This window comes from Homo sapiens, chromosome 3, assembly GCF_000001405.40.
Source record: "Homo sapiens chromosome 3, GRCh38.p14 Primary Assembly".
Taxonomy (NCBI): Eukaryota; Metazoa; Chordata; class Mammalia; order Primates; family Hominidae; genus Homo; species Homo sapiens.
Genome location: NC_000003.12, coordinates 126,212,174 through 126,237,868, shown reverse-complemented (window position 1 = coordinate 126,237,868; position 25,695 = coordinate 126,212,174). Strand labels below are relative to the sequence as shown.

Here is a 25,695-nt window from a genome sequence, read left to right as displayed (position 1 = left end):
GGCCGGAGTGGAATTATATGGTTTGGCTCTGTGTCCCTACCCAAATCTCATCTTGAATTGTAGTTCCCATAATCCCCATGTGTCATGGGAGGAGCCAAATGAAGACAACTGAATCACTGGGCAGTTTCTCCCATCTTGTTCTCATGATAGTGCGTTAGCTGTCATGAGATCTGATGGTTTTATAAGGGACTTTCCTATCCTCTTCATTCTGCATTTCTCTCTGCTGCCACTCAGTGAAGAACATGTTTGCTTCCCCTTCTGCCATGATTGTAAGTTTCCTGAGGCTTTCCAAGCCCTGTGGAACTGTGAGTTGATCAAACCTCTTTTCTTTATAAATTACTCAGTCTTGAATATGTCCTTATAGCAGTGTGAGAATGGACTAATATACAACCTATAAATGGAATCATACCATGTGACATTTTGTGTCTGGCTTCTTTCACCTAGCATAATGTTTTTGCTTCTTATCCACCATGTAGCATGTACCAGTATTTCAATCATTTTTAGGCCAAATAATATTCCATTGTATGGCTATACCACAACTTATTTGTCCATTCATCTACTGAGAGAACTCTGGATTGTTTCCACCTTTTGGCTATTGTGTATAGTGCTGCTACAAACACTTGTGTCTATGTATTTGTTCAAGTTTCTGTTTTCAATTGTCTTGGGTATGTACCTAAGGGTGGATTTGATGGGTTATATGATAGTTCCCATTTTAACTTTTTGAAGAACTACCAAACTGTTACCATGGTGATTGAACCATTTTACATTTCTGCCAGCAATGCATAAGGGTTGCAATTTCTCCACATCATCAACACTTGTTACTTTCTGTGTGTGTGCTTTGTTTTCAAGGTAATAGCCATCCTACTATTTATAAAGTAGTATTTCACTGTGGCTTTCACTGGCATTTCACTAATGACTAATGATGTAGAGCATATTTTCATGTGCTTGTTGGTCATTTGCATATCTACTTTTGGGAAATATCTACTCAACTCATTTGCCCATTTAAAAAAAAAGTTGGTTGTTTGCATGCTCATTGTTGACTTATAAGAGTGCTTTATATATTCTGAATATTAGACCCTTATTAGATATATAATTTACAAATATATTTTCCCATTTTATAGGCTTCCTTTTTTCTTTCTTTCTTTTTTTTTTTTTTTTTTTTTTTGAGATGGAGTCTCACTCTGCTACGCAGGCTGGAGTGTAGTGGCATGATCTCTGCTCCCTGCAAGCTCCACCTCCCGGGTTTGCACCATTCTCCTGTCTCAGCCTCCTGAGTAGCTGGGACCACAGGCGCCCGCCACCACATCCAGCTAATTTTTTGTATTTTTAGTAGAGATGGCATTTCACCATGTTAGCCAGGATGGTCTCGATCTCCTGACCTCGTGATGCTCCCACCTCGGCCTTCCAAAGTGCTGGAACTACAGGCATGAGCCACCACGCCCGGCCCCTTTTTTCTTTCTTGATAATGTTTCTTGATGCACAAAATTCTCACTTACTTTTTTGACTATGACATCTGTCCTGTTATTGCAGAAATACGTTGAAGTCTTTTACTCTTCTTGTATGTTTACCAATTTGTATTAGTGAGGATTAAGTTTGGCTCATACAATAGAAAGAAACTAGATTGGATATACATATATAGATCTTGGAGACAGGATATTTCTCTCTTGCCAAGGCTGGAGTGCAGTAGTGTGATCTCAGCTCATTTCAGCCTTGAACTCCCAGGCTCAAGTACTCCTCCCACCTCAGCCCCCTGAGTAGTTGGGACTACAGGCATGGGCCACCATGCCCAGCTAACTTTCACAAATTCTTAATTTTTTAGTAGAGACTGGATCTCACTATGTTGCCGAGGCTTGAAAATATTTTAAATACAGAATATTTAGTACCTTACATTAAAAAATGCTTAGAGATGGGACACCACAGGCTGATGTGGTAGCACCACTAAGTTACAAGAACCAGGCTTCTTGTATCTGTTTGCACCACCATTCTTAGCATGGGTTCACCTGCATTTCTTAAGACAGCTGCTGGAACCATTGTGTCCTATTGAAGAAGGAAGAATGAAGGCAGGCAAAAGGCACATTTCTGAAATAGTGATCTCAAAGAGACCTTTTCAGAAGTTCCAAAAAACACATCTGCTTACATTTTACTAGCCTGGTCCTAGTTGCATGATCATTGTGGCAGAAAAAAAAAAAAAGCCTGAGAAATGTGGTCTGTTAATTGGGCACATTGTAGCCTGCAGCAGAATCAGGCACCTCTCATGAGTAAGAAAGGAAAATTCTATTGGATAAAAAATGGACACAGCTTCCTGGCATTTCTAATAAATTATTTTTATGTACTAAACAGCTATATTTGGTGCATATAGGTTAACTTCTGTTGTATCTTCTTTACAAGTTATGCTTTGTATATTTACAAAATATACATTTTTAACCAGTTGGGAGTTAGGGAAAATGCATTTATATTTATCTGTTTTAGTGCTTTTAATCAATGGTTTGGTTGCTACTGACATTGTTTCCTTTTTACTTGTATTTTCCTTTTTACTTGTATTTGTTTATTATCTCTTTATCTGCCTCTTTATTTGCAATGTTTTCTTACCACTTTGATGAGTGTTTAAACTCTTCCAAAAACAAACTATGTTTTATTTTTTAACTCACTATGGCAGGCTCTGTATTTTTGGGGAGGTTAAAAATGTGGAATACTTCATCTCATTTCAACACGCCAGTGTGCCCCTTCTGAGGGTGAAGCACCGCAGTGTTGCAGGCTTCTTTGATAGGAGATGGGCAAGGTTTGGGTTAGCATTTATTTTTTAAATTGTCTCTTAAAAAAACTTTTTAAAATTGAAAAATAAAAATTGTATGTATTTATGGCACAGGAATTTAGTCAATTTTGGTTTTTTTTTTGGTATGGTGACTTTAATCTTGATTTTATTCTTTCCATCTTGACTTGGTTTTATTTATTTTACATGATTGCTCTTTAAACATATTCTTTATTTTAATTTTCCCATTGTTTATTTAAGGTTCTACATTAGTCTTTTATTCCTACTATTATTTGAGAACTCAATATCAATTTTCCCCACATTGATATGCTAAGAGAGGAGAGAAAATGAAATATTATAATATGCTAAGTTAAAACCACAGAAAGCACTAAAAGAACAAGTGAAAAAAAGAAACAAAAAGCAAGTGAAATGAATAGAAAAAAGCTGCAAATATGTTAGCATTATTCAACTATATCAATAATAACTTTAAATCTAAATGGTCCAGATACACAAATTAAAGGACAAAGACTGTCATATTGGATTAAAAATGAGACCAAACTGTATATTGACTGCAAGAAATCCACTTAAATATAAAGACATAAACAGGTTAAAAGTGAAAGGGTAGAGAAGCAAAAGTGGCACAGTAGAGAACATCAAAATTTGTCCCTCCACAAAAGCAATAAACTAACTGCAAAAACTGCCAAAATCAACTTTTTAGGAATTCTAGAAACTAATCCAAAGCCTAATGTTTAATTAAGAAAAACCAGCTGAATCTCAGTAAAAGAAATTCATGGCATTTTAACTTATCCTGGTTCCATTCCTGGCTTGATGGTGTCCTTGAGACAACAGCTGGCATTCACAGTACAGGTATTTAGTACTGGAGGGAGCACAGCAGAACTTATCTTTAAATAATTGCATTTTTTTTTTTGTTTTGACCTGTATGTTGGCTCCCAAAAGGAAGGGATCAATGGGTTTGCCTTTATTTCTCCTAATTCAGAACATACCAGGGTTTTCAACATTCTATCAGAAACTTTTAAAGGCAAATGTTAAAATCACTCCATCTCACTCAAAGGATAGCAATTAGGAGAAACAATAGACCAATCAATAAGCTTGGGAGGAAAGGCTGAGGAATGAAATGCTTTGGGGGAATAAAGTCTTTGAAAAGCTCCTGGGAGTCAAGAAGTCTATGCACACTCCCAGGATGGTTGACTGCATGCCTAAAAGAGACCTGAGAAAGCCCTAAGATTTAACCTCTGGCTGACTTTCTGACTCTGTGTAAGCAGGAAGTGAAGGCTAAGGCAGAGTTGTAAACTGCCTGGTGGAGGCACAAACACAAAACACAAACAGAGCGCATCTTTAGACTGGGAGATTTTCCTCCCAGGTGTTTAAGGAAATCTCTGCTTAATTACTAGCTGACTATTAAGCTAACAGGAACTGAGACTTCAGTGGCTATACATGACAAAGAATATAGACTTTACAAAACTAGTTCAGAAAAGTTACTAAAGAAGGAAAAAACAAATACAACAAGCAGCAACACTGGAGATAGGGGAAAATCAGAGTTCCAAAACTTCCATATTATAATATTCAAAATGTCTGATGTTCAACAAAGTATTACAAGGCATTGCAAAGAAACAAGAAAGTATGGCCTATATACATTAAAAAAATGAATAGAAACCTGCACTGATGATACCTGGATATTGGGCTTATTAGACAAAGGCAGTACATCAACTATTTAAAATATATTCAAAAAACAAAAAGAAACCACATACAAATAACTAAAGGAAACCAGGAAAACAGTGTTTCACCACATAGAGATTATCAATAAAGACATAGAAATCATATAAAGACACCAAATAGAAATACTGAAGTTGAAAAGTCCAATAACTGAAATAAAAATTTATTAGAGGGGTCCAATAACAAGTTTAGTTTCTAACATTGACTGCAAATATTAGAAAATTAGAAAGATCTCAAAATTAAACATCTAAGCTTTAATGTTGGGAAAGAAAAAGAAGAACAAATTAAATCCAAACTAAGCAGAAGAAAATAAATAATCAAAAAAATTTGAGCAAACATTAATGAAATGTAAAATAAATAAAAACCAAAAAAAGAAATAAAAAAACTTGCTTGAAAAGATCAATTTTATTGATCTTGGATAGCCAGGTTAACTGAGAGAGAGAGAAGGAGAGAAGACACAAATCACTAATATCAGAAATAAAAGAAAGCCCACCATCACTACTAATCCGTGGATATTTAAAGGGAAATAAAGAAATATTACGAACAACTTTGTCACTACATATTTGATAACTTAGGGGAAAAAAACCCAATTACCCAAAAGACACAATCTACTAAAACTCACACAAAGAGAAATAGTTAATTTAATAGGTCTATACTGAAAAAGAAATTGAGTGAATACTCAATAATCTTCTAAAACTGAAAAAGAAATTGAGTGAATACTTAATAATCTTCTAAAACAGAGAGTACCAGACCCAGATGATTTCATTGGTGAATTCTACAAAACATTTAAGGAAAAAACAATAAAAATTCTTTACAATCTGTTTCAAAAAACAGATGCCAAGGAATGGCTTCCTAACTTATTCTCTGAGGTCAGCATCACCCTAATACCAAATGCAGACAAAGACTTTCCTTACAAGAAAAGAAAACTACAAACCAATATTTCTCATGAATATGGATGTAAAGCTCCTCAACAAAATATTAGCAAATCAAATCCGACAGTGCACAGAACTATACACCACCTGCAAGTGGAATTTATTCCAGGTATGTAATATTGGTTTAACATTCAAAAATCAATTAATGTAATTTATCATATCAACAGATTAAAGAAAAAAATCATGTGATCATATGCATAGATGTAAAAAAAGCACTTGACAAAATCCAATATCCATTTATGATACAGATTCAGCAAACTAGGAATGGGGGGAGTTTCCTCAACTTGATAAAGAGAATCTACAACAAACATACAGCTAACATCACACTTGATGGTGACAAACTTGAAGCTTTCCCACTAACATTAGGAAGAAGGCAAGGATGTCCCCTCTCACCACTTCTATTCAACATATTAGGAGTTCTAGCTGGTGCAATTAGATAAGAAAGGAAAATAAAAAGTATACAGATTTGGAAAGAAGATATATAACTGTCTTTGTTCACAGATGACATAGTTGTCTATGTAGAAAATTTTAATGAATCAACATAAAACTCCTGGAACTAATAAGTGATTATAGCAAAGATGTAGAATACAAGATTAATATAGAAAAGTCTATTGCTTTCCTATATACCTCTGTGTTTCTGAAATTAAAAGGAACACTTATATTAGCACCAAAACAATGAAATTCTTAAGTATACAGCTAACAAAACTTTTTACAAGTTATACTACAAAACTCTAATTAAAAAAAATCAAAGATATACAGGCAAGATAAAGAAATAAAAGCATTCAAATAGGAAGAGAGGAAGTCAAACAATTCCTATTTGCAGATGTCATGATCCTCTATCTAGAAAACCCCATAGTCTTTGCCCAAAAGTTCCTTGATATGATAAACAGCTTCAGCAAAGTTTTAGGATACAAAATCAACATACAAAAATCAATAACATTCCTATATAACAACAGCATCCAAGCTGAGAGCCAAATCAAGAACACAATCCATTTCACGATAGTGCAAAAAGAATAAAATACCTAGGAATATAGTTAACCAGGAAGGCAAAAAATCTCTACGAGAATTACAAAACACTGCTCAAAGAAATAAGAGATGACACAAACAAAGGGAAAAACTTTCCATGTTCATGGATAGGAAGAATCATTATTGTTGAAATGGCCATATTGCCCAAAGCAATTTACAGATTCAGTGCCATTCCTATCAAACTACCAATGACATTCTTCACAGAATTAGAAAAGACTATCATATGGGATCACAAAAGAGCTCTAATAGCCAAAGCAATCCTAAGCAAAAATAAGAAAGCTGGAGGCATCATGTTACCTGACTCCAAACTATGGGCTACAGTAAGCAAAACAGCATGGTTCTTGTACAAAAAGAGATGCATACATCAATGAACAGAATAGAAAGAGCCCAGAAATAATGCCACGTGCCTACAACCATCTGATATTTGGCAAAGTTGACAATAACAAGCAATGGGAAAAGGACTCCCCATTCAGTAAATGGTGCTGAGATCACCAGCTAGTTATATGCAGAAGATTGAAACTGGACCCCTACATTACACTATGTACAAAAATCAACTCAAAATATATTAAAAACTTAAATCTAAAACCTAAAACTATAAAAACCCTAGAAGATAATTCAGGAAATACCTTTCTGGACACAGGACTTGCAAAAGATTTCATGACAAAGACACCAAAAGCAATTGCAAAAAAAAAAATTGACAAATAGGATCTTATTAAACTAAAGAGCTTCTGCACAGCAAAAGAAACTATCAACAGAGTATACAGATAACCTATAGAATAGGAGAAAGTATAGCTATACATCCTTATTGATCCAGAATCTATAAGGAACTTAAACAAATGTACAAGCAATTTTTTGTAACAACAACAATCCCATTAACAAATAGGCAAAGGACATAAAAAGACACTTTTCAAAAGAAGACATATTAATACAAATGTTCAAAAAACATATGAGAAAATGTTCAACATCACTAATCGTTAGAGAAATACAAATCAAAACCACAATGAGATAGCATCTCACACTAGTCAAAATGGCTATAATTACAAAGTCAGAAAATAACAGATTCTGGTAAGGTTGCAGGGAAAACGAATGCTTATATGCTGCTGGTGGGAGTATAAATTAGTTCAGACATTGCAGAAATCAGTGCGGTGAGTCCTCAAACAACTTAAAATAGAACTGCCATTTGACCCAGCAATCCCATTACTGGGTATATAGCCAAAGAAATATAAATCATTCTGTTATAAAGACACATGCACAGGTATGTTCATTGCAGCACTATTCACAATAGCAAAAACATGGAATCAACCCAAATGCCTATCAATGGTAGACTGCATAAAGAAAATGTGGTACACATACACCATGAAATATTATGCAGCCATACAAAAGAAGAATGAGATCATGTCTTTGCAGGAACATGGATGGAGCTGGAGGCCATTATTGTTAGCAAACTAATGCAGGAATAGAAAACCAAATACCACACATTCTCATAAGCAGGAGCTAAACAACTAGAACACGTGTATATTGGGAGGGGAACAACATACACTGGGGCCTACTTGAAGGTGGAGGGTGGGAGGAGGGAAAGGATCAGAAAAACTGTCTATCAGGTACCACGCTTATTACCTGGGTAATGAAAGTATCCGCACATCAAACACCTGTGGCACACAATTTGCCTATATAATAAACCTGCATATTTACACTTGAACCTAAAATAAAATTTTTAAAAAATCAAAGATATAAATAAGTTGAAAGATATCTCATGTTCACGGATAGATAAGAAGATTTAATATTGTTTAAGATGTCAGTCTTTCCCAACTTAATTTTATTCAGTGCAGCACAATCAAAATCCCAGCTACCTATTTAGTGGATATCAAAGACTAATTCTAAAGTTTATACAGAAAGGCAAAAGACCTGGAATAGCCAACACAATACTGAAGAAGAATGAAGTTGGAGGACTGGCCAGGCTCACACCTGTAATCCCAGCACTTTGGGAGGCTGAGGTGGGTGGATCATCTGAGCTCAGGAATTCGAGACAAGCCTGGCTAACATGGTAAAACCCTGTTTCTACTAAAAATACAAAAAAATTAGCCAGGCATGGTGGTGCACACCTGCAATCCCAGCTACTGGAAAGGCTGAGGCAGGAGACTCACTTGAACCTGGGAGGCAGAGGTTGCAGTGAGCCGAGATTGCACCATTGCACTCCAGCTTGGGCAACAAGAGTGAAACTCCATCTCCAAAAAAAAAAAGAAGATGGAAGACTGACACAATCCAACTTCAAGGCTTACTACTATAAAGCTACAGTAATCAAGACAGTGTGATACTGGGAAAAGAAGAGACAAAGAGATCAATGGAACAGAGTAGAGAGCCCAGAAATAGATTCACAGAAATATAGTCAACTGATCTTTGACAAAAGTCAATATCAACAGTGACAAATCATGTTGATAGCATGTAATATTATTATAACGTGATGAACATTGCTTCTCTACCTGTGTGGTCTACATATAACCTACATCTAATCATGACAAAAATATCAGATATACATCACATAAGTTTCAAAAAAGGGGCATCTTATAAAATTCTTAATCCTCAACACTGTTGAAATCTTCAAAAACAAGGAAGGTCTGAGAAGCTGCCACACCAAGAAGAGCCTAAGGAGACATGACGAGTAAATGTAATGTATCCTGGATGGAATCCTGGGACAGAAAAACATGTTAGGTAAAACTAAGAAAATCAGAATAAGCTCTAGATATTAGTCTCAGTATTGATTCATTAATTGTAACAAATATACTATACTAATGAAAGATACTAATTTTAGGGAGAAATGGATGAAGGAGTATTTGGGAACTCTCTATACAATCTTTTAAATCTTTTTGACAATTTAAACTGTTCTAAAAGGTAAAGTTAATTTTTTAAAAAAACCAGTAACTGCAGCAAGGGTTTACATCTTAGATGAAAAGAAGACTTTTTTGAGGACTATTGTATCACTGATGTTGTTGAGTATTGCCAGTCCATTGTGATCATAGAAAACCAACTGTCTTTTAGTTGGTTTTCTAAATTATCTCCTGACAAGGCACACACTATTGTCTGAGCTGAGGGTGGACACTCCCACTGTCTCATCCTTGGTATGCACTGCTCCAAACCTTTATATATTTGTTTATGATGATTTCTGTCTTATTTGATATATTTGCTATCTTATTTAATATATTTCTGTCTTATTTGATATATTTTTGGAAATATTTGATATATTTTTGAGATATTTGATATATTTGCTATCTTTTGAGATATTACTGCAATAAGCAGTAAATATTCAGAATGCTAACTCTAATTCAGGTTTCAACAGTGTCTCTTTTCTCTTGTAACTCATCCACTGAATTTTTGGAGCAGAAAATTATGTTTATTTTTAGCTCCAGAAACTCTTTTGTACTGCTCTTGAATCCATGTAAATGTCCTTTCCCTCTTCACCTCCTCCAATTTTCTTCCAGCTGCACCCTTGTCCTCTAGCAGCTCTCTTTCTCCAGGTGTGAGTTATATTTGTTGTGGGATAATCTTACCCTCTGGCTGGCATGATCCTGTGGGCTAGGTGTTGGCTCATCAGGGCTCAAGTCTAGCTGTTGGTGTTCCCTGCATGGCAGCAGCTCTACAGGTTGTAGAAGGTGCAGAGATTTCTGCCTCCATGTGCTGGTGACACTGCAGCAGGCTGACTGCAGGTCATGTGCTGAAACCCTTGTTCCTCCATCCTGTTTGCGTTTCCCTAGCTGCAGGGTCAGGAGGACTCAGCCCACATTTAGTATCTTCTTGACCAGGGAAACCAGGCAGGCTCATGGGGCTGATGGGAACTTCCCCCAAGGCTTCCCAGGATTTTCCTAGCAGCTCCCCAGTGTTGACTTCCAGGCACCTGCCACTGAGCTACTGGGGAGAAGGCACCACAGAGGTCTTCTTTTTGAGATGCTCATAGAAGCCCAGGCTGCATGAGCACCCAGATAGATGCTCAGAGTCTCAGCAGCTGATTGGTGCAGAAAAGGTACATGTGGGAATGAAGGAAATGGATCTGGGCTCAGGTTACCATATTCCCAGAATTCTCCCTAAAAGATGGTGTTTGCTGTGCATTGTAAATTTATTATTTCTTCCTGGCCTCCCATCTCTGGCATCAAGTATTCTCCCACTTCAAATACTCAAATACACCAGTCATATTGCATCAGGGCCCACCCTAATGCCTCATATGAGGCACTTACTTTTGAAAAGATCCCATTTCCAAATAAGGTCACATTCTGAGGTACTGGGGTTAGGAGTGCAACAGATATTTTTTGAGGAGCACAATTCAACGATTACACCCTCTGTGATCATTTTAGTTGTGAATACTTTTACCAGTGACTTCCTCTTTTAAGATTTTTGGTGTTTTTTTTTACCATAAAAATTATATATTTTTACATGGTTAAATGAGTCAAATTGTTTCTTTTGGACGTCTGAGAATGAAAACACTTTCGATTCCAAGGTTTTAGGATTACTATTCTATATCTTATTGAAATAATTTTATTGATGTTTCATGTTTAAATGTTTAGTCCATTTGGAAATTAATCTATGTATGGTACAGAGTGTCTGTTGACTTAAGCACAAACATGTCTTTCTTAAGGACAAACATTAGTTCTTGCCACAGCAAGGAAGAAAATGTCTCCTAACTGACTCTTAATTAGGAAGAACACACTTCCTCCCATGGAATCAGTAAATCACACTATTATCCAAAGTGGTATTTAGTTCTTTGTTCTTTTTCTGCTTCCCTTTCAGGCTTAGCAGGGTAAGAAAGCAGCCACAAACCTGCTATAAACACCTCTCCCTTAGCAACACAATTAGAGCCTTAGAAATGCACAGTCTAGAAAAGACTGGATTAAATTATTTGCCAAGAACAGTTACTCTCTCTCCTCAATCTCCATCTGGGTGAAAAGAAGGGTGTTACCCATTCTTACATACATGCACATACACACATGTCACACACGTATGTTATATGTATGTATATAGAAAATATTGAATTAAAAAACACTCTAAAACCTAGTTTTCTGTACTTTCTTATTTTCTAGAAATGGACAATTAATATAATGACAATTTTGTCTCTTTTCTTTCCAATGTTTTTAAGCTTTTTTTTTTGTCCTATTGCATTGTCTAGAAGTTTATGAACAACTTTGATTGATAGTTATAGGTTTACAGCACTTCACCTGCAATTCCTAAATGCCAAAAAACTCTGAAATCTAAGGTCTGTGGCAAACTCTTTGGGTAATAAAATCTGGCCTGAACCAATGAGGACTATTTATACTCTTCAAGTATACAACTTGGGGCAAGAGCATTTGGTGACCTAGGCAGTAATGTGCTCGATTATGGACTGTCCTCCCGGTCCTCATTGGGGTTGTTTTCCAAGGTATAATATATGTATGACATTATCTTTGAGAAATCTGAAAAAAAAAACCTGATTGTGAGATTTAATTGATCCCAAGGATTTTAAAGGGTTTCTGGGATCTTAGATCATGAATAATGCATATGTTTGTCTCTAGTGTTTAATCATTCAACTTGTCGTAAGTTGTTGGCTTGTGACAGATACTTTTTAAATTAAAGGGGTTTTCCATGCCATGAATATTTATTGATTTATTTACTTTTTCTACTACTTCTTGGTCATTTATATTTTCTATGAAAAGTATCAACTGTATTTAGACTTTGAAATGTTTTGGGACTTCTGGTTTTTGGTGTGAAATATAAGGAGATTGGTCTTCACTCCCATCCTTGTAATAAGAAGAAAGCAAAACCAAACTGAAAATTAACAACTCTTCTTAGATCCATAAAGAACTGAGACCACAGGGCAAACAACGGCCTCCACAACCCCCATTCTGGTTCCAGAGTCACCAAACTCTTTTCCTTTGTGCATTTGAGAATGTGATAAGAATCCATCTTGGAGAGTCTTGGAGAAACCTGCTGTTCTTAACATAAGTTAACCCCAATCTAGCTAAATTCTGTTTTCCCTAATGTACTTTGAAAAGTTTGATTAGGTCCATAGAGAGTTTTTCTTTTTCAAAACATGATAGATAAATACTGATATACAATATAATACCACTTAAATACTTTCCACATATGTATAAGGCTTATCTGTGCATTTAAAACAAAGTTGTGGGATATTTTGTGGACCAAACTTGAAATGCTGGCTACGGTGGAACTGGAGATGGGGATGGGAAGGAAGCCTGGGGGACTGTGTGTGATGATGGGGCCCTCCCCTTTATAGAGATACATGTCATACACACACACACACACACACACACACACACACACACATAATTGTAGTAAAAAATACATAGCACAAAATGTACCATTTTAACCATTTTTAAGTGTATAGTGCTGAGGTGTCACATCTATTCACATTATTGTGAAACAAATCTCTCTGGAGCTTTTTCAAGTTGCAAGTCTATGCCCATTAAACAGCAGCTCCCCTTCTCTCCTTCCCTTCTTCCCTTGGTCACCACCGTTCTACTTTCTGTTGCTATGAATCCAGCTACTTTAGATAGCTCTTACAGCAGGATCATACAGTACAAATACTCCTCGACTTACAATGGAATTATGTTGATAAACCTGTGGTTAGTCAAAAATACATTTAATACACCTAACCTATTGAACATCATAGCTTGGACTAGCCTATCTTAAACGTGCTCAGAACACTTACATTAGCCCACAGTTGGGCAAAATTGACTGGCAAACAAGTGTGGAAGCTGTGACTCGTAGCTACTGCCCAGCGTTGAAAGAGACCATGGTACTGAATATCCTTAGCCTGGGAAAGATCCAAATCTAAATTTCAAATATGGTTTTTACTAAATGGATATTGCTTTCGCACCATTGTAAAGTGGAAAAATTGTAAGTCAAAACATCATAAATCAGTGATGACCTGTACTCCTCTTTTTTCTGACTGGCTTGTTTCGCTTAGCATAATATCCTTAAAGTTCATTTATGTTGTTGCACAAGACAAAATTTTCTTCCTTTTTAAGGCTAAATCATATTCCCTTGTAGGCACATACCACATTTTGTTTATTTATTCATCCATAAAGGGACATTTGTGTTGCTTTCACCTATCAGCTGTTGTGAATAATGTTGCTATGAACATGGGTGTGCAAATATCTCTTTGGGGGACTGCTTCCAGTTCATTTGGGCATTTAAACAGAAGTGGAATTGCTGCATCATATGGTAATTCTATTTTTAATTTTTTGAGGAACTGTTGTATTGTTTTCCACAATGGCTGCACCATTTTATATTCCTACTAACACTGCACATGAGGTCCTCCACATCGTTTCCAATTTGTTCTTTTTTTTCTTTTTTCTTTAAATAGTAGTCATTGTAATGAGTATGAGGTGATAGCTCAATGTGATTTTTATTTGAATTTCTCTGATGATTAGAGATGTTGCCATCTTTTCATTTGTTTCTTGGCCATTGGTAAATAATGTTAGGAGAAATATCTATTCAAGTCTTTTGATCATTTTTAAACCTGGTTGATTTCTTGTTGTTGAGTTATAACAGTTCTTTTGTAAATTCTGGCTATTAACCCCTTATCAGATATATGATTTGCCTGTTCACTCTGTTGATCTTATCCTTCGATAAACATTTGCAAAGTTTAACACAGTCCCATTTGCCTATTTTTGCTTTTGTTGCCTGTACTTGTGGTGTCATTATCCAAGAAATCATGCCAAGTACAATGTCATGAAGATTTTCCCCTGTAGTTTACTCTAGTTTTATAGTTTTAGGTATTACATCTTTAATCCATTTTACCTTAATTTTTGTATATGCTATAAGGGTCCAAATTTATTATTTTGCAGGTGGATATCCAGTTTTTTTCCTTAATGTGATTTCTTGAAAATACTTTCCCTTCTCCATTGAATGATCTTAGTACCCTTGCTGAAGTTCATTTGACCATACACGAGTGTTCATTTGGGGTCCTCTCTTCTATTCCATTGGTCTATTTGTCTGTTTTTATGTTGATAACACACAGTTTTGATTACTGGAGCTTTGCAGTATGTTTTAACATCAGGAATATCAGGGCTTGTGAGTCCAGCTTTGTTCTTCTTTTAAAATATTGTTTCAGCTATTTGGAATCTCTTGAGATTTCACATTAATTTTAGAATGACTTTTTCTATTTCTGCAAACAATGCCTTTGGGATTTTGATAAGGGTTGCATTGAATCTGTAGATCACTTTGGGTAGTACAGATATCTTAACAATATTGTCTTCCAACTTAAGAACACAAACTATCTTTCTATGTATTTAGTCTTCCTTAATTTCTTCCAGCAATATTTTACAGTTTTTAGTGTACAAGTCTTTCTCCTTCTTTAGAGTAGATTTATTACTAAATATGTCATTCTTTCAATGCTGTTGTAAATAGGATTTTTTTTAATTTCCTTTTTCAAGTTGTTCACTATTGCTGTATAGAAATGCAAGATTTTTGTTTGCTGATTTAAAATCCTGCAACCTTGCTGAATTTGTCTATTAATTCTAATAGTTTTTCTGTGTGTGAAAGCTTCTGGGTTTTCTACATAAAAAAACATGCCATCCGTGAGCAGAGATAATTTTATTTCTTCCTTTTCAATTGGATGCCCTTTATATATTTTTACTATCCAATTGCTCTGGCCAGGACTTCCAATGCCATATTTAATAGAAGTAGTGAGAGGGGAGATCCTTGCCTCATTCCTGATCTTAGAGGGAAAGCTTTCAGTTTTTCACTGTTGAGTATGATGTTAGCTATGGGCTTGTATAAACTGCCTTTAGTATGTTGAGGTGATTTACTTCTATTCCTATATTGTGGAGTGTTTTTATCATGAAGGGATGTTGACTCTTGTTAAACGTTTTTTCTGCAACAATTGAAATGATCATGTGGCTTTTGTTCTTCATTCTGTTAATGTGTTATAACTTTGATTCGTTTTCATAAGTTAAATCATCCTTGCATTCTAGGAATAAATTCCACTTTATTTAGGTCATGGTGTATAATCTTAATGTGCTTTGAATATTGTTTGCCAGTATTTTGCTGAGGATTTTGGCATCTACATTCATCAAGGACATTGGTCAGCAGTTTTCTTTTCTTTTTTTTTATATTTTTTATTTTTTTTTATTATTATACTTTAAGTTTTAGGGTACATGTGCACAATGTGCAGGTTAGTTACATATGTATACATGTGCCATGCTGGTGTGCTGCCCCATTAACTCGTCATTTAGCATTAGGTATATCTCCTAATGCTATCCCTCCCCCCTCCCCCCACCCCACAACAGTCCCCAGAGTGTGATGTTCCCCTTCCTGTGTCTATGTGTTCTCATTGTTCAATTCCCACCTATGAGTGAGAATATGCGGTGTTTGGTTTTTTGTTCTTGTGATAGTTTACTGAGAATGATGATTTCCAATTTCATCCATGTCCCTACAAAGGACATGAACTCATCATTTTTTATGGCTGCATAGTATTCCATGGTGTATATGTGCCACATTTTCTTAATCCAGTCTATCATTGTTGGACATTTGGGTTGGTTCCAAGTCTTTGCTATTGTGAATAGAGCCGCAATAAACATACGTGTGCATGTGTCTTTATAGCAGCATGATTTATAGTCCTTTGGGTATATACCCAGTAATGGGATGGCTGGGTAAAATGGTATTTCTAGTTCTAGATCCCTGAGGAATCGCCACACAATGGTTGAACTAGTTTACAGTCCCACCAATGTGTAAAAGTGTTCCTATTTCTCCACATCCTCTCCAGCACCTGTTGTTTCCTGACTTTTTAATGATTGCCATTCTAACTGGTGTGAGATGGTATCTCATTGTGGTTTTGATTTGCATTTCTCTGATGGCCAGTGATGGTGAGCATTTTTTCCTGCGCTACCTGACTTCAAACTATACTACAAGGCTAGAGTAACCAAAACAGCATGGTACTGGTACCAAAACAGAGATATAGATCAATGGAACAGAATAGAGCCCTCAGAAATACCGCCGCATATCTACAACTATCTGATCTTTGACAAACCTGAGAAAAACAAGAAATGGGGAAAGGATTCCCTATTTAATAAATGGTGCTGGGAAAACTGGCTAGCCATATGTAGAAAGCTGGATCCCTTCCTTACACCTTATAGAAAAATTAATTCAAGATGGATTAAAGATTTAAATGTTAGACCTAAAACCATAAAAACCCTAGAAGAAAACCTAGGCATTACCATTCAGGACATAGGCATGGGCAAGGACTTCATGTCTAAAACACCAAAAGCAATGGCAACAAAAGACAAAATTGACAAATGGGATCTAATTAAACTAAAGAGCCTCTGCACAGCAAAAGAAACTACCATCAGAGTAAACAGGCAACCTACAAAATGGGAGAAAATTTTTGCAACCTACTCATCGACAAAGAGCTAATATCCAGAATCTACAATGAACTCAAACAAATTTACAAGAAAAAAACAAACAACTCCATCAAAAAGTGGGCAAAGGACATGAACAGACACTTCTCAAAAGAAGACATTTATGCAGCCAAAAAACACAGTTTTCTTTTCTTGCAGTGTCTTTGTCTGGATTTGGTATCAGGGTTATGCTGACCTGTAAAGTAACCTAAGTATTCCCTCCTCTTTAATTTTTTGGAATAGTTTCAGGAGGATTGGTGTTAATTATTTTTAAATATTCTGTAGAATTCTCCAGTGAAGCCATCTGGTCCTGGACTTTTCTTTGTTGGAAGGTATTTGATTACTGATTCAATTTCCGTGCTTGTTATTGGTCTGTTCAGACTTTTCGTTTCTTCATGGTTCAGTCTTGGTAGGTTGTGTGTTTCTAGGAATGTGTTCATTTCTTTAGGTTATCAAGTTTGTGGAAATATAATTGTTCTTAGTATTCTCTTATAATCCTTTTTATTTCTGTGGCATCAGTTGTAATGTCCTTTCTGTGACTTCCGATTTTAGTTAGTTGAGTCACGTCTCTTTCTTTCTTAATTTAACTAAGGGGTTGTCCATTTTGTTGATTTTTTTTTTTTGAAACCGAATCTGGTTTCATTGATTTCACTTCTATTCTCTATTTTAATCATTTATGCTATAATCTTTATTTCCTTTCTTCTCTTAGCTTTAGCTTTAGTTGTTCTTTTTCTGCTTTCTTGAGATGTAAAGTTAGGTTGTTTATTTGAGATATTTCTTCTTTTTAATATAAGGCATGTATTGCTATCAACTTCCCTCTTAGCACTGCTATTGCTGTAGCCCATAAGTTTTGGTATGTTGTGTTTTCATTTTCACTTGTCCCAAGGTATTTTCTAATTTCCACTGTGACCTCTTCTTTGACCTATCGGCTGTTCAAGACTGTGTTAATTTATTTACACGTTTGTGGAGTTTCCAATTTTCCTTGTGCTATTGATTTCTAGTTTAATTTCCTTGTGATCGAAAAAGGATATTTTGTGTAATTTCAACCTTTTTGAATTTGTTAAGAGTTATTTTGTGACCTTATATGTTGCCTTTCCTGGAAAATGTTCCCTGAACACTTGAGAAGATTGTGTACTCTGCTGTTGTTGGGTGGAATCTTCTCTGTATGTCCGTTAGGTCCAATTGGTGTAAAATGTTTCAGTCTTCTATCTCATTATTGATCTTCTGCTTAGTTATTCTATCCATTATTGAATGTGAGGTATGGAAGTCTCCTACTATTATTGTGTTTCTGTCTATCTCCCTTCAGTTCTGTTAGTTTGCTTTATATGTTTAGGAGCTCTCTGGTTTGGTACCTAAATATTTTTTGTTATTATGTATTTTTGGTAAATTGACCCTTTTACCATTATACAATATCTTTTTTTGTCTCCTGTAACAGTTTTTGATTTAAAGTCTCTTTTGCCAGATATTGGTGTAGCAATTCCTGTTGTCTTTTGATTACCATTTGTATGAAATCTTTTTTCTATCCTTTCATTTTTAGGCTATTATATTTTCAGATCTAAAGTGAGTTTCTTGTAGACAGCATATAATTGTATCCTGTTTTTGAATACATTTAGCAAATCTATTTTTTTTTTTGAGACAGGGTCTTGATCAACTGTTGCCCAGGATGGAGTGCAGTGGTGAGACTGTGGCTCACTGCAGCCTGAATCTCCCAGGCTCAAGCAATCCTCACACCTAGCCTCCCCAGTAGCTGTGACTACAAGTGTGCACCACCACACCTGGCTAATTTTTAAAAATTTTTATAGTAATGGCAGTCTCACTATGTTACCAGGGCTGGTCTCAAACTCCTGGGCTAAAGCAATGTTCCTGCCTTGACCTCCCTACATGCTGATGTTACAGGTATGATATGCTGCGCCCAACCCAATCTGTATATTTTGTTTGTGGAGTTTAATTTGTTTACATTTAAAGTAATTATTTATAGGGAAGGACTTGATATTTTAGTTGTTTTATGGATCTTGTAACTTTTTTGTCCCTTCTTTCATCTCTTAGTGACTTCCTTTGTGTTTTATTGGTTTTCCACAGAAGACATAAAATTGAAAAGGTTTTACAACCAATTTAACACAGACTCCAGCCAATAATAATAGACCCTGGTTGTTCACCATCATACTATTGTACTGGTGTGCTCTTTTAAAAAAATGTCTAAATGTTGCATTAATTTGCATTTCTTTGATTACTTCTAAGATTGAGTATTGTTTTATTTCCTTCCTTCTTTCTCTCCTTTCTTCCTATTTCTGAGAATTGCTTTTTCATATTCTATGCTCATTTGGTGTTGATTGTCCATTTATTAATTTGAAATATTTTTTGTAAATTAACAATATTTACTTTGTCATATTTTGCAAATATTTTTCCTAGTTTGAAATTATCTTTTAGTTTTGTTTATGGCACATGAAAGATATATGCAAATTTATCATTATATATATTTAACATATGTAAGTTTTATAACATCATATAATCAAATCTATTCCTCTTTTCTTTATGGTTTCTGCCTCTAGTATTGTGTCATCTAGTGCTAGAATTACTTGTCAGGAGTCACATTTTCTTTTAAAACTATACTTCCAAGCATTACTTGCACTTTATTCTGTTCATAACAGTTTCAATGTTCAATCCATTGAATGTTCTATATCTTATGATAGTCCTTGAAATGAGCTGTTTTTTTTTAATTAGCTTTTGATTGATCAAGACATGTGTTCAAGTAAAATTTTCCTTTAGGTTTTATTGTCTATTTTTGAACCATTGTATTTCTGACAGTGTCTTTCTGTTGCTTTCTCATTTGAATAAAACCTGAATAAGAGCTCTTGATTTATAGACTTTTTCAGCAATGTTTTCTGTAGGTATTTCTCTATTGGCTTTTAAAGTTGCAAAAAGTGTTAGGGGTTTTTAAAATTTATTTGAAATTTTTTTCTTTTTTGGATAATTTGTATCCTTTATTGTCCACCCAACCCCTGCAGAAGGGAATTTTTTTTGAAAAAAGAATATGTGTGCCTTACCTGGATGCTTATACTTCATTTAATCTTGAAATAAAAATAATTGCGCATAGTAGTGTGTAAATATAAGTGCTCTGAATTTTAATTCAGGTATTTTTATAGCTCAGGAAAGTTTTCTGTTATAACTGTATTATTGTGTATACTGCGTGTGTTTTCTTCAGAACATTAATTACCCATATGTTAGATCTGCCATTTTCTTCCTCCATATCTACTATCTTTTTTCTCATGTTTTAAAATTCTTTGTCCCTATTTAATTGTTTACTTATTTTGCTTCTGGAAAAGTTTCTTAAATGACCAATGTTTAAGTTTTCCATTTATTTTTGTTTTGCTGTATAGATTTTTTTTTTTTTACTGATACATTGCATATTTTATTTCTGGTATTGCACTTTTAATTTCCTCGCCATTTTGCCTATAACTTCTTTATTTTCTTTCTTTATTTTCTTTCTTAGTTCTTTTCTTAGAAAATTAGCCAGCTATTTTTCAGGCTCATTGGAATCTGGTTCTATACCACGTTGCCTTCCCTTCTTATTTCTTGCTTTAAAGAGCCTACGTATGGTTGAGATTTATGGTTACCACAAAGCAGTTGCTCTCTAAAATTTCCCCCCTTCTTGGTAAATAAAGCAATGTTGAAAAACATACCTCCCTGCCTTTTTAATACCATGAACACTTACATCTTATAAACTGTAAAATATTTTTATAGGTCCCCTTTTTACTGGTGTTTACAACCTTGAACAAGGCAAGATCTATTCAGGCTAGACATTTGCCCGAAGCAGGCTATAGACACTCTCTTGATTCCTAGCATTGTCTCTCTGGTTGCTGTTAGTATTTATGCTGGCTGATGTAAAATATCATGCCCAATGAAATTATTAAATAAAACTGTGGGACCAGGAAGGGAAAATTAACACTTTGTGGTTGCATCATTTTTCACTATCTTGTTGGTGTCAGGATGAGGAATCTGGGAAGCAGGGTCTGTCCGTTGTCTGTTCAGCCTTCAGGTTGGAAAGAATAACACCATAACCTGTGTCTCCCTTTGTCATGATGAGCCAAAAGGATCTATAAAAAAACACCTCACCTCTATGTGCTAGCACCTCCAGGAAGTTTGTGGTGTCCAATAAGCAAGGGTCTAGGGAAGCAGTCTCTGCTTGGCTCCTGCTGCTGAGTGGTGAAAATTGGAGTACATTTAAGGCTACCTTGCTACTTGGCTTTATTCCGACAACTGAGCTCCCATCTCTCTCCAGATAATCCCAACCCCAAGGGCTTACATCTAATCTTTGGAGCTATTTCTGTTCTTCATTTTTATTTCCTTATCAGTCTCCTTTTAATGTTATGCCTGCATTGCTCACTCTTTCATGCCTACAGAAGTGATTCACAGTACAAGAATCTGAAGATCTTTCAAATTATTCAGTGATGGATCACCTAAAATTTTAAAGTATTTGCCTGTTTGCTGAAGATTCCTTCCAGCAATTTAAAACTTTGCTCATTCCCAATGGCTTCTTGGTCACTTCAGCCTACAAAATCTGACATTTGTAATAGATGCCATCAGGTGGTGTGGTTTGTGAGATGGCTCTGCCTTACCCCAGAAGGATGCAGCTTCAGGGGCTCTACCACTATGCTCACTTTTCTAGAAAATGAAAAGAAACACCTCTATTTGGAAACCTTGAGACCATTTTTGAGGTTTGGGGATAAAAGTGATTTGCCAGTGTGTCGTAGGTGGCCAGCAATGGGACCGGGGTTAGAACCCAAGCAGTCTTCCTGGCCCCAAGCTCTCATTTCCCCACTGCACTGTCCCCAGTCGTGCACTTCAACATGGGGCTGGGTTCAAAATTATTGCACCATCTTGCCACCTCTTGTTTTCTGGTAATCCCAAATGCTAGGGGATTCCAGTGCCAAGAGCCAAGAGTTCAAAGTAGTAAAGGAAGCATCCCAAGAAAAGGACTTTGTAGTCCCGACTGTACCAGCGTAGGTCACCCAGCACTGGCAGTGGGCAAACACCTACACGGAATGTTGTCACTGAGAAAAACGGCACGCAGAGCTAGCTGAAACTGAGAGTGCAGGAGGCCAGTGCTTCCCCTCTGCTGTAATGTCGATCCAGGGGCCACCACAATGGGTTCCACCGAATGTAGACATAGGACACTTGGGCGGTCTGATACTAAGTGTGCTGCTACCTGGCCAAGGCCAAGAACAAGCGCAGGGCACCAAAAGGACAATTATTCCTCTGTCGAGCTCCTACACATCCATTTTAGTCAGGATAGGGCATGTTATGCTGTGGTAATTAACCACTCTGAAACAGCATTGGCTTAATACACTTACGGTGTATACTCCCTCATCCAGAGTCCACTGCAGGTCCAGGCGACTCTCCATGCAAGGATTCAGCTGTCAGCTCTTGATCTTGGGACTTCAGAGGGACTGCCACAGTGGAAAGGTAGGACTGGAGGACCTGGCTCTGGCAACTAAAAGCTTCAGCCTGGAATTGACATCCGTCATTTCCCCTCACATTCCATTGGCCAGAACTGGTCCCATAGTCTCAGCTGCCAAGCGGGGAGGTACTGGCTGTTGTCAGTACTAGAAGTTTCTACCACAGCTCTGAAACCTGACCATTTTGAGAAGAAAGGTGAAGGGTAAAGTTTGGCATACTTTTCTTTTCTTTTTCCTGAAAGATAATGTAAGTACACAAGTCTTAAGTGCACAGGTTGATGAATTTTCACAGAGTATGCACTCCAAGCAGGACGCAGCTAAAGATATGCAGCACTCACAGCTCCCCACGCAGTATCCCGGTGCCCAAGCAACTACCTCCAAAATTCTCTCCTGACCTCTAACACTGTAGATCAGTCTTGCCTGGATTTTGTATTTTATATAATGGAATCCTTAGTTATGCACTCTATTGTAGCTTTGCATTCAATACTTTGAGATTTATCCATGTTGCTGCAAGTATTAGCAGTTTGTTATTTTTTTGTTGCTGTGCAGTATACCATTGCATTCTTAAAATACTACCATTTAATTAATCTTTCTAAAGACATTAAAGACATTTGTTGGGGGATTAAAATAAATAAGTAAATTTGCTGTAGGCGATCTTGACCATGATCAGGAACCTAGCACTCGGTTCCCTTGGATATACACGCTGGTTCCTATGGCAGGCGTTTGCTTACCTCCATTAGATGTTTCCACGTGGTTGCTCCAATCCACTCTCCCATCAGCAGGGTATGAGAGCCCAGCTGGTTGTTCCACAGTCTCATCAGCACTTGGCGTTGCTATTTTAGCCATCCAGTGGCTGTGATATGGAATCGAATGTCACTATTTGCAGTTCCCTGATGCTAAGTACCCTTTCGTGTGTGGATTGACTGTCTGGATCTCTCCTTTTGTGAAATATCTTTTCAAGTCTTTTGTCAATTTTTAACTGAGCTATCTATATTTTTCTTGTTGTAGGGGTCTTCATATTTTCTGGTCCTGAGTCGTTTACTGAACAAAAGGCAACTTTTTTGTGAGTCATCTTTTTACTCTTAATGGTGTCTTTTGAAGTTCATTTTAATAAAGTTCAATGTTTTCCTATTTCTTTTCCGTTTAGTATTTGACAGTATTTTGATATTGTTATCAAAATATACACAGCCAGTCCCCTCGTGCGTTATCCTCTGCTCCAGGGGGCTCTCAAGGGGATGAGATGCAGAGAAGGGGAGAAAACTGGAACCCCAAGTTCCCTGATTAATAAATAGGGACCAGCGCGAATCCTTACCACAGCAGGGGGCGAGGCATTGGAAGCCTGGGAAGGGAGACTAGACTCCCCTGCCCAGAGGCCCGGGCAGTAAGCAGGGAATGGAAGCAGAGGCGTGGGTCATGGGTGCTGCCCCACTGAAGCCCATGGTCCTGCCCCCTACAGTCAAGGGCTGACCAAGTCTCACCCTCAAGTCAAGCAAGTAGGCCACTCCCATTGCAGGGGGATCCAGGAAGGTCCCTGAAGAGTCCTCTGCTGTCCTTCCCTTCTGGTGACCACACCTGCGTCCACAAGAGGAGTGGCTGCCCCTGAGAGGGGACAGCAGCGCCCAGTGTCCCTCCTCGCCTCCGCGCGGCTGCTGTCCCTGTCCTTCCCTTCTGTGCCTGGCTGGAATCACGAACATGGAAGGCCCGTCTGCCTTTTCCGCTTCAGACTGCAACAGGGCTTTGCTCCAAAGTGCTGGGAAACGGCAGTTCCACTACTAGACAGGTCTGCACCCCAGAGAAATGTGTGTGCGCGTGCACCAAAAACACACGAGAACGCTCACAGCAACCTTATCCCTTCTAGCCCCAGACGAGTGCCCATCAACAGCAGAAGGGGTAGATAAAGCGGGGCTCACCCTCGCAGTGACCTGAACACGGCAGCGAGAGCACACTGCGTGGATGACACACAGCGCCGCGTGGAAGACGCTAAGCTCCGGGAGCCCGCGGTGTGATCCCCTCGCCCCAAAGCGGCGCAAGGGCCCCAGGCGCCAGGCCCTGCGGGGCCCGGGCAGCGCGCGACGCGCTGTCTCTCCACCTGGGGACGGCTGTCCGGCGAAGCCAGTAAAGCTCAGTAAGCTGTAGCTCAGGGGGCACGTCAGGACGCGCACTCCACGCCAAAAAGTTAAAAGAGGTCTGCGCCAGGGAGGCGCGCGGGCGGGAGACCTCGACTCTCAAAGCGCCTCCTCCAGGCTCTCCGCCGCGTCCTCTGGGGCTGGGGCGGAATCCTCGCATCCCCGCCGGGTCTCCCTCCAGGCCGCCGGGCTCCGAGCGGAAGGGCCGCTTCCATGGAGACGGCTTTTTTGAGCTCGGACAAAGCACTCTGGCTGCGGCGAAGGGCCGCGGCCGCCGGGCGGCGCCTTCCGAGGGCGCAGGGCGGACGCGGAGGCCCGAGAAGGCGCGGGGAGGGTGGGGAGGGTGGGGAGGCGAGAGGCCGGGCCTCCGCGTTCCCGTTCGCTGCGGGACAAAGCTCCCTGTCCTGTCCCTTCCTGGGGGCGCCCCTGCCGTGAGAAGCAGAGCCGGCGGTGGGGCCCAGCCCCTCCCAAGGGCGACTCCCCCACCCTCCACAGGCCGGGGCCTGAAGCCGTCACAGCGGGGTTCGCTGCTTCCCATTCAGGCTGTGATGGCCCGAGGCTCGGCGTGGTCTCGCTCTCTTCTCAATTAATCCATTTTAGGGGGACAGGCAATACATTTACATGGTTCAAACACAAAAATGATGGAAAAGTTAGCTTTGAAATACTTGCTTTCCCCCAGCCCTATCGACCCTGTTCTTCGGTGCCCCCTAAAGGCACCTTCTGCTCTTTATCTATCACAGGCTTATGCCAAATGCCAGCAAAAGAATGCAGCAGGGCCACTCCGCTTCTTTGTCACAGCAACCGGAGCCTAGGCTGCCCTTGTTGTGTACCCCTCCCCGCCTCCCTCCTTCCTTCCCTTCCTCCCGCCTTCTTGCTTTCCCTCCCTCCTCTCCTCCTTCCCTCCTTCCTTCCTTCTTCCTTCTCTCCCTCTTTCTTTCCTCCCTTCCTCATTCCTTCCTCCCTTCCTTCCCTCTTTCCTTCCTTCCTTCCTCCCTTCCTTCGTTCCTTCCTTCCCTCTCTCCTCCTCCCTCCCTCCTTCTTTCCTCCCTTCCTCCTTCCTTCTTTACTTCCTTCTTCCTTCCCTCCTTCCATCTTCCCTTCCTCCTTCCCTTCCACCCTTCCTCCTTCCTTCCCTCCTTCCATCTTCCCTTCCTCCTTCCCTTCCTCCCTCCCTTCCTCCCTTCCTTTCTTCTTCCTTCCTCCCTCCTTCTTCTCTCCTTCCTTCTTTCTTCCTTCCCTTCTCCCTCCTTTCCTTCCCTCCTTTCCTTCCTTCCTTCCTTCCGTCCTTCCTTC

General features: G+C 38.3%; 1 long non-coding RNA gene across 7 annotated transcripts in view, besides 1 other annotated feature; it reads right to left on the bottom strand.

Annotated features, from left to right (window-relative positions):
- The window catches only part of LOC124909426 (uncharacterized), a 34,702-nt gene extending 9,865 nt beyond the window's left edge, over positions 1-24,837 (bottom strand). For 4 of the 7 annotated variants that reach the window (XR_007096057.1, XR_007096061.1, XR_007096058.1 and 1 more), the window contains exon 1: positions 22,172-24,633. This is a non-coding gene — a long non-coding RNA (uncharacterized LOC124909426). Of the gene's footprint in view, positions 1-22,171 lie in introns of all 7 variants that reach the window. The other 3 variants (XR_007096063.1, XR_007096062.1, XR_007096060.1) reach the window with 3 other exon arrangements.
- Positions 23,850-24,362: an enhancer, noted in NCBI's record as "H3K4me1 hESC enhancer chr3:125932350-125932862 (GRCh37/hg19 assembly coordinates)". NCBI's record gives its function as "activates a minimal SCP1, AML or CMV promoter by ChIP-STARR-seq in naive H9 embryonic stem cells {active_cell/tissue: H9 hESC(naive)}" and the evidence as "EXISTENCE:reporter gene assay evidence [ECO:0000049][PMID:30033119]".
- Positions 24,838-25,695: the final 858 nt, after the last annotated feature.